General features: G+C 49.8%; 1 annotated feature.

Moving 5' to 3' along the window:
* Nucleotides 8,652-9,151: an enhancer, noted in NCBI's record as "H3K4me1 hESC enhancer chr19:5364893-5365392 (GRCh37/hg19 assembly coordinates)". NCBI's record gives its function as "activates a minimal SCP1, AML or CMV promoter by ChIP-STARR-seq in primed H9 embryonic stem cells {active_cell/tissue: H9 hESC(primed)}" and the evidence as "EXISTENCE:reporter gene assay evidence [ECO:0000049][PMID:30033119]".

The following is a 10,128-nucleotide window of genomic DNA, read 5'->3' as shown; positions in this document are numbered from 1 at the left end:
TCAAGACCTGCCTGACCAACATGCTGAAATCCCATCTGTACTAAAAATACAAATATTAGATGAGTGTAGTGGTGCATGCCTGTAATCCAGCTGCTTGGGAGGCAAAGGTGGGAGGATCGCTTAACCCAGGAGGCAGAGGTTGCAATGGGCTCAGATCTCATCACTGCACTCCAGCCTGGGCAACAGAGTGACACCCTGTCTCAAAAAAACAAAAACAGAAACAAAAAGGCAAGGTCAGATGACGATAAACTTTCCTCTGTTGAAAGTTAGTAGGGAGGAAATGTATTTCCATGAGGACATTCCTGAATGTTAGAGGGGTATGGTCCTCTGGACCCATCTAAGTGACTTTTCTCTATTATGGCTGGGGAAACTGAGGCCCAGAGAGAGCCTTTCCAATTCACTCCCAGGCCACACTCAAGAATGAGGTGGGGGGATTTGAGAATGCGGGACAGAAGGAGGAACCCCGATACAGCCAAGTGTGGGATCTTTTCACTAGAAGGATCAAGAGAGGCTTGAGTCCAACTCTCCAGGGTAAGGAGGGGAAACCGAGGCCCAGAGAAGAAGCCCACACCCACCTCACTCACCCCTCCTTGGGTCACTCACCAGCATCCTCCATGTGCCATCCATTCATCCAGGTCGAGCTCCAACTGCAGCTGAACCCCCAGCTCCGGTTCCTCACAGACTCGGCACTCAGCCAGAGGAGCTCTCTGTGGCTGTGCTCACCCCACACGCCAGTTTACGTGGGGAAAATGTGAGGCTCAGCAGGACAGATGATACACCCAAGGTCGCTCAGGCAGGGCTGGTTGGAGCTCAGGAAGGCTTGAGACCAGATCCTGTTCATTTTCCAAGTGTAGGCAGCCACTCTGGTGGAATGGGGAATGGACACCTGAAGCTTAAGGCAGGTCCCAGACAGTGTGTACAAAACAAACCTGTGCACACACTCATGCACAAACACGGGTGCCTACATGCAGGTAGGCATACATGCACACATGCACACAGAGACATGTGGCACATGCTCATGAGTGCACACATTCATATGAACATACATGCACACACATGCACGCATGAGACATATGTGCACATCATTACATGTGAACGCATGTGCACAGGAACATGCACATACATGCAAACTGGCACACACATGCACACAAGCACATGTGCACACATGCACACATATGCATATTCACAAATGCATGCACACACAATTCACACAAACATGAACATACATGCACACACAAGCACGGACACATGGACACACATGTGTATACATGCATATGCTTGCACTTAGGCACATGTGCTCACAGACATGTGTGCACAATGCATTGAACATGCCTGCACACACAGATACACACTCACACACTCATGCATGTAGGCAGACCTGCACACACAAGAGACACACAAGCACATAAACATGTACATACATGCAAACCCACACATGCACACAGATGCACATAAGCACATGTGCGCACATGCATATTCACGAACGCATGCACACACACAATTCACACAAACATAAATATACATGCACACCCAAACATGGACACATGGACTCATATGTGTATACATACACACACTCGCACTTAGGCACATGTGTACACAGAGACATGTGTGCACACATGCATTGAACATGCCTGCACACACAGATGCACGCTCACATACTCATGCCTGTAGGCAGACATACACACAGAGAGACATGTGTGCACATAGATGCACGTGAACAATGACAGGCACACATGCACACAGGCACACATGCACACACAAAACTTGAACATGCATGCACATGCACATGAAATGCACATATGCATACTCACAATTCACACAAACGTGAGCTCATGTGCACAGGTGCATGCACACACAAACATAGACACATGTACACACACGCGTATCCATACAAATGCCCTCGCACATGCACCTGCTGGCTGGGAGACACAGCATCCCTCGGTGCCTCTCGTCCTCTCCCTCATTCTCTCTCTCGCTCCCTCTCTCCCTCCCTCAGAGCCATTTAAACGATTACAAAGATGCTATTTTTATATAGAGGAAAATTCAGTTATAGACATTGACCTTTAAGCTTTTTTCTAGGCTCACGTGTCGCTGGCCCAGGGTGCGAAAGGCTTGCGTGAACGTTCTCGGAAGAAAAACTTCCTCAAACTAGGGAACTGAGGGTGTGAGAGAAGGAGCAGAGCCAGGGATGGGGGCCCGTGTGCAGCAAACGGGAGGCAAGTCCACGCTTCAGGATGCCTGAAGAAACTAGTGGCTCAGAGTAGGAGGCAAGGAAAGCCCAGACGGAAAGGACTTCCTTTTTTTGTTTTTTGGGATTTTTTTTTTGGAAACAGAGTCTAACTCTGTCACCTAGGCTGGAGTGTAGTGGTATGATCATAGCTCATTCCAGCCTCAACCTCCTGGGCCCAAGTGATCCTCCAACCTCAGCCTCCCGAGCAGCTGGGATTACAGGTATGCACCACCATGCCCAGCTAATTTTTAAAAATTTTTTTAGAGATGGGGTCTTGCTATGTTGGTCAGGCTGGTCTCAAACTCCTGGACTCAAGTGATCCTCCTGTGTCATCCTCCCAAAGCGCAGGGATTACAGGCATGAGCCACTGCAACCGGCAGACTTCCTTTCTTGTTGCCACATTTTGGAGGTGATCCGCCTTTCTGAACTGGTTTGGGGTGTGGTCTCTGCATGGGTTTAGCCACTTTCTCTTTTTCTGGACAAGCTTTTCAGCATCTGGCAATAGTGGGTGCTCAACGAATGGGTTGGGGCTTACTTTAGATATTTAATTATTCAACACCTATTAACTGAGTCAGACACTGTTCTAGGTACTGAGAGGAAATAGCAAATTTGACAGAATGAAGATCTCTGTTTTGAAGAGCTGATGTTACATGTTAACAAAGAAAACCCCCCCACACAAGTAGGTGGGGCACAGCTGCTCACTCATGTGATCTCAATGCTTTGGGAGGCTGATGCAGGAGCATCACTTGAGCCCAGGAGTTTGAGACCAGCCTGGGCAACATAGCAAGATCCCATCTCTGAAAAAAAAATTAGCAGGGCATGGTGGTGTGCCTATAGTTCCAGGTACTTAGGAGGCTGAGGAGGGAGGATCGCTGGAGCCCAGGAGTATGAGGCTGCAGTGAGCTATGATGACACCACTGCACTTCAGCCTGGGCAACAGGAGGAGACTCTGTCTAAAAGACAAAAATACACAAGTGGCCGGGCACTGTGGCTCACACTTGTAATCCCAGCACTTGGGGAGGCTGAGGCGGGTGGATCACGGGGTCTGGAGACTGAAACCAACCTGGCCAACGCGGTGAAACCCCGTCTCTACTAAAAATGCGAACAATTAGCCGGGCGTGGTGGTGGGCGCCTGTAGTCCCAGCTACTGGGGAGGCTGAGGCAGGAGAATGGCGTGAACCCGGGAGGCGGAGCTTGCAGTGAGCCGAGATGGCGCCACTGCACTCCAGCCTGGGCGACAGAGCGAGACTCCGTCTCAAAAACAAAAACAAAAACAAGAAAACCACACACACAAGTAAAATATACAGGGGGTCAGATGGTGGTAAGAGCTAAGGGTGAGGGGCGGGGGGTGGGGTGGGCTGGAAACAAGCAGTAAAGGAGAACAGACTCTGACGGAGATAAATGTGGGGAAGTGGCCAGGGGAGGTCTCTGTGAGAAGCGCCATTTCAATAGAGACCAAAGGAGGTGGAGGTGGGGGAGGGAGATAGAAGGCACAGCCCACGCGGAAGCCCTGAGGCAGGACCCCACCTGGTGCGTTGGAGAAACATTGAGGAAAACCCTGTGGCTGGAGCACAGTGAGCAAGGGAAAGAGACGGAGGAGGAGGTGTCAAGGCAGGTCACACAGAGCCTTGTGGGCCGCAGAGAGGACTTGCTTTTTGACTCTGAGGGAGGTGACAGCCATGGAGGGCTGTGGGCAGAAGAGGGACAGGACCTGACTCAGGTGCTCACAGGCGCCCTCTGGCTGCTGAGGGGGGAACGGTCTGATGGGTTAGTGAGCAGGGGAGGTGAGGACCAGGGCAGAAGCAACTGTACTGGTCCAGGCAGGCAATGATGGGGCTGGACCTGGGGATGTAAAAGAGGGGCGAGAAGTAGGCAGGTTGTGAATAGATTTGAAGGCAGAGCCAACAAGATTTTCTAAAGGACTGATGGTGAAATGTGAGGAAAAGAGTTGACTTGAGATTGATTCCAGGGTTTCTGACTTGAGCCCCTTGGATGTTAGAGGTGCAACCTATTAGTATGAGTTTGGGGAGGATGAAAATGGATGAATAAGGATGGATGGATGGATGGATGGATGGATGGATGGAAGAGTGGGTGGGTGGACGTGTTACGGATGGATAATAGATGATGAATGAATGAATTATGGATGGATGGATAAGTGAGCGGGTTGATGTGTTATAGATGGATATAGATGATGAATGAATGAATAAATTATGGATGGATGGGTGGATGGATGGATGAGTGAGTGGTTGGGTGGATCGGTTATGGATAATAAGTGATGGATGGATGAGTGAATGGATGGATAGATGAATAAATGGGTGACGGATGGATGGATGGATGGATGGATGAATATATAGGTAGGTGGGTGGGTGAGTGGTTGGGTTAATGGGTCATGGATGGATAATAGATAATGGATGGATAAATGGATGGATGGGGATGGGTGGATGAATAGATGGATGATGGATGGGTGTATGGAGGGATGGATGGGTGTATGGAGGGATGGATGAGTGGATGAATGGATGGTTGAATGAGTGGGTGAATGAATGGTTGGGTAGATATATTATGGATGGATGATAGAGGATGGGGTAGGAGCCACAGGATGGGGAGGGGTGATGACCAAGGTTTGGCTTTGGCCTGTTAAGTTTGAGCTGCCTTTTGGGCACCTACATGTAGATGCAGACGGGCCATTTGGATATAAGATTCTGATGTTCCCAGAAGAGATGCCTTCTGAAGGCATAAATCTGACAGTCCGTGGTACTGGGATTACAGGCGTGGGCCACCGCGCCTGGCCCAGAGCTAGCTTTTACTAGCCATGGTGTTAGAATGTATTCGTGTCCATGGTGTTAGTCCATGGTGTTAGAATGTATTCATGTCCATGGGGATGAATGAGAAGAGGAGACAGAGACTATGCTCAAGGACTACCCTGTGTTTAGCAGCTGAGCAGAAGAGAGAAGCTTGCAGAGAGAAGCTTGCAGAGAGACTGAGAAGAGTCCAACAGAGAGGAGGGTGAATGCAGGCAAATGTGGGGACGCTGGGGGCCACGTGAAGATGATGCTCCCAGGAGGAGGGACCACCCAGGGTAGATGTTGCTAGGAGCATGAGGAGGATGGGTGCTGAGAAGTGATCACTGGATTTGGACACTGGGAAGCCACCTGGACAAGGGAAATCTTAGAATAGTACTGGGAAGAGCCCACCACTGAGATTTTTTTTTTTTTTTGAGACGGAGTCTAGCTCTGTTGTCCAGGCTGGAGTGCAGTGGCACGATCTCGGCTCACTGCAAGCTCTGCCTCCCAGGTTCACGCCATTCTCCTGCCTCAGCCTCCCAGGTAGCTGGGACTACAGGCGCCCGCCACCACGCCCAGCTAATGTTTTCATATTTTTAGTAGAGATGGGGTTTCACCGTGTTAGCCAGGATGGTCTCGATCTCCTGACCTCGTGATCCGCCCGCCTCGGCCTCCCAAAGTGCTGGGATTACAGGCGTGAGCCACCGTGTCTGGCCACAACGCCAAGATTTTAAGGAAGGGATTCAGTTATCAGAGCTCGGATACCCCGAGTGTAGAGTGAAAGCATCAGGGCCACAGCCAACCCCACACTCAGTCAGTCTGAGGATTTAGTGAAGTCATGTGCTCAGTACATATTCTTCTTGGTAAGGCAGAACTGGTATCACTGGGCTGTTGCCATTACAGTTAGTAGTGCTACCCATTTATCTATCCAACAATCCATTCATCCATTCACCCATGCTTTCATCCATCTGTATACCTACCTACCCATTCATTGATCCATCATTCATTCATCCATCCGTCTATCCACCATCTATCATCCAACCATAACCCATCCACCCAACCACGAATCAATCCATCCATTCATCCATATATTCATCTATCACTCATCCATGATCTATACTCATCCGTAACCCATCCATCCATTCATTCATTTATCTACTCATTCATCCATACATCGCCAATCATCCTTCCATAACCCATCCATCCAACCATTCACCCACCTACCCATCTATCCAACCATCTATCCCTCATTCATCCATCCATTCATCCATCTATCATCTATCATCCATCCATAACCCACCCACCCAACCACTCATCCACCTACCTATCCATCCATCCGTCATCCATCCATCACCCATCCATGATCTATTATCCATCCATAATCCATCCACCAGTCACTCATCCACTTACTCATTCATCCATCCATTGCTCACCCATGATCTATCATCCATCTATAACCCATCCACCCACTGGCTGATCCATGTATCTACCTACTTACCCATTCATTGATCAATCATTCATCCATCCATCCATCATCCGTTCTCCCGTCTATCATCTATCATCCACCCATAGCAGCTGAAGCCAGGAGGCAGCACTCATCACCCATCTGTAACCCATCCACCCAACCATTTATGTCTCCATCCATCCACCCATCCAATAATTCTAACACATCCATTCTCCCCCCCATCCCTTCAGTGTCTACACATTCTACACCCTATGCTCTGTTCTATCTCCAGGTTTGTGCTGCCACATCCACCTGCCCCTCTGGCCATTCCCTTGAGATCCTCAAGGTACTACCCAGTTTGCCTCCTTGGTTTCTTCCTGAGCCTCCTTCCCCCTACTGCCAACACATGGCCTCGCCAGCATCATCACTAACTTGAGTTGGTTGAACGGACCAGAGCCTGTCAGGCTGTCCCTTGCTCTCCCAGGCTGTGGTTGTACTTGAATGGGGCAGAGCTCCTGCCCACACAGCCTTTCTCTGAGGGACTCTTATGGGGTCCAAGTCTCAGGGCCCACAACATTCACACCAGCTGAAAAAAGTCCCTCCGGGGGGGGCTTATCTGGCCCTGGAGCAAGGTTGGAGGACCCAACCTCCACTTGCACCCAAAATGCTGCTCTCTGATGTCTCCTGAATCAGAAGATCCTTTAGCAGCAGCATCAATCTTGCTTTTATTTTTTTTAAATCACTACATCTTATTTCTACTTCTCATACCCTCCCTGGAGACCTGGACAGAGATAGATAGATGGAGAGGTAGAGACCACTGCAGAGGTTTGCTGCATAACCTAAGGCAGAGCCTCTCTCTGGGCCTCAGCACCCCCAGCTTCCTCCCTTGAGAGGAGGGGTGGAGAGGGGAGGTTATATAGACGTGCTTGCTTCATAGGCTGGCCCCCAGATACTGCTTAGAGGGTGGCCTCCTTATCCTCAGGTTGGGAAGTGTTTGTGGACCAGACCCACCCCCCCACCAACCAATGAACTTAGAAATGAGTCATTCAGACCAGTCATAGTGGCTCATGCCTGTAATATCAGTTTGTTGAGATGCCGAGGCGAGAGGATCCCTTGCAGCCAGGAGTTTGAGACCAGCCTGAGCAATGTAGTGAGACCTCATATCTACAAAAACTTTAAAAATTCTCCAGGCATGGTTCTGTGCACCTATAGTCTCAGCTACTCAGGAGGCTGAGGAGAGAAGATCGCTTGAACCCAGGAGTTTGCGTCTGCAGTGAGCTATGATTGCACCACTACACCCCAGCCTGGGCAGTATAGTGAAACCCCATCTCTATTAACAAAAAAGAAAAAGAAAAGAAAAGAAAGGAGTAATTCACAGTCCTGTGGTGGTCTGGAGTGTCAGGGAGTTGGCCACCTGGCTTCAAATCCCAGTTACTGTCGACAGGCTGCATCCCCTCTCTGAGCCTCAGTTTCCCTATCTATACAATGGGCACAACCACTCCCATCTCAGAGTCATTGGGGGGATGAAATGTGTCAGTTATTATTAATATCGCCAGCCCCTAGACGTAACCACTACTAACGTTGTGAAGTGTGTTCTTGGGATATCTTTCTACGCATAGAAAAGGTTTGGGGGCCAGGCGCAGTGGCTCACACCTGTAATCCCAGCACTTTGGGAGGCCGAGGTGGGTGGATCACCTGAGGTCAGGAGCTCAAGACCAGCCTGGCCAACATGGTGAAACCCCGACTCTACTAAAAAAAATACAAAAAAAATTAGCCGGGCGTGGTAGTGCCCTCCTGTAATCCCAGTTACTCAGGAGGCTGAGGCAGGAGAATCACTTGAACCCAGGAGGCGGAGGTTGCAGTGAGCAGAGATCGCACCACTGCACACCAGCTTGCATGATGGAGCAAGAAAAAAAAGAAGAAATAAAGAAAGAAGAAAGAGAGAGCGAGAAAGAAAGAAAAGAAAGAAAGAGAGAGAAAGAAAGAAAGAAAGAGAAAGAAAAAAGGAAGGAAGAAAGAAGGAAAGAAAGAAAGAAAGAGGCCGGGCGCGGTGGCTCACGCCTGTAATCCCAGCACTTGGGGAGGCGGAGGCGGGCGGATCACGAGGTCAGGAGATCGAGACCATCCTGGCTAACACGGTGAAACTCAGTCTCCACTAAAAATACAAAAAATTAGCTGGGCGTGGTGGCGGGCGCCTGTAGTTCCAGCTACTTGGGAGGCTGAGGCAGGAGAATGGAGTGAACCCGGGAGGCGGAGCTTGCAGTGAGCCGAGATAGCGCCACTGCACTCCGGCCTGGGCGAAAGAGCGAGACTCCGTCTCAAAAAAAAAAAAAAGAAAGAAAGAAAGAGAGAGAAAGAGAAAGAAGAAAAGTTTGGGGGTCATATTTAAAACCACTTTCTCCAAAGGAAATAATAACAATAGTTAAGTCTCCGAACCCAGCACTGGGCATTTTATATCCCATTAAATTCTCCCAATATTCCTAGGAAGACTTTTTAAAATTAGTTTCTACTTCCCAGAAGAGGAAAAGTCTCAGATGGTGAGAAGTAAAGCTTGGATGGAAACCCAACTTAGCCTGAGTCCAGAGCTGAGGGACTTGGCCAGGCCAGCCACTGGTGGGTGGAGAGAAATGGGGTCCCTCCTGGGGCAACCTGGGCCAGGCTCCGCCCCGGCCAGCAACTTCCTCCCGATGTCATGGCAACCAGCTCCTCTGAGATGCTAATTAAGGTGACTGGGAGGCACTTCCCATCCTCGTTCCACATCCCCTGAGAACAAAATGCTAGGAGGCCCTCCATCTTCCATGCAGGCAAGGTGTGGTGGGAGCACCCGTGGCCAGAGGGACTCGGTTTCCCCAGGTTGCATCACTTGCTCTGAGGCTGGGTTACTGGGGATGGTCCGGGGAAGGAGTGGAGAAGAGAAGGGGTGAGCTCACCAGCCCAGAGGCTGCAGATGCCAAACATGGGCTGGGCACCAGGAGCTAAACACTCTCCATACACCCTTCGTTCCGCATTCAAAAACTTGAGTTTTAGACATTTCTTTGTTTGGATAGATAAAGGCAGAAAAGAGTACCCAACTCAAGAGAAATGCTTAGATGGCACCTGTGTTATGCCAAACCCTACTTCCAGCACCCTATTAGTATTAATGCAGTACAGCCTCATCCTCATCCTTCTGAGCTGGTATTCATCATGCTTGCTTTGTAGATAAGGACACTAAGGCACAGAGAGGTGAAGTGACCTGCCTGAGGTCACACAGCTTGTTCAAGGCAGAGCTGGCTTTTTAATTTTATTTATTTATTTATTTATTTTGAGACAGAGTCTCACTCTGTCACCCAGGCTGGAGTGCATTGGTGCGATCTCGGCTCACTGCAACCTCTGCCTCCCAGGTTCAAGCGATTCTCCTGCCTCAGCCTCCCAAGTAGCTGGGATCACAGGCATGCGCCACCACACCCAGCTAATTTGTTTATATTTTTGGTCGAGATAGGGTTTTATCATGTTGGCCAGGCTGGTAGTGAACTCCTGACCTCAGGGGATCCTCCCACCTTGGCCTCCCAAAGTACTGGGATTACAGGCGTGGGCCACCACGACTGGCCCAGAGCTGGATTTTACTATCATTTTTTTTTGCCTTTCAAGGTATGGGGGGCAAAATTCCCCTCCCTGTCCTGGCCCTGATCACCCAG

Source organism: Homo sapiens, chromosome 19, assembly GCF_000001405.40.
Source record: "Homo sapiens chromosome 19, GRCh38.p14 Primary Assembly".
Taxonomy (NCBI): domain Eukaryota; kingdom Metazoa; phylum Chordata; class Mammalia; order Primates; family Hominidae; genus Homo; species Homo sapiens.
This window is presented reverse-complemented; position numbering and strand designations above follow the sequence as displayed.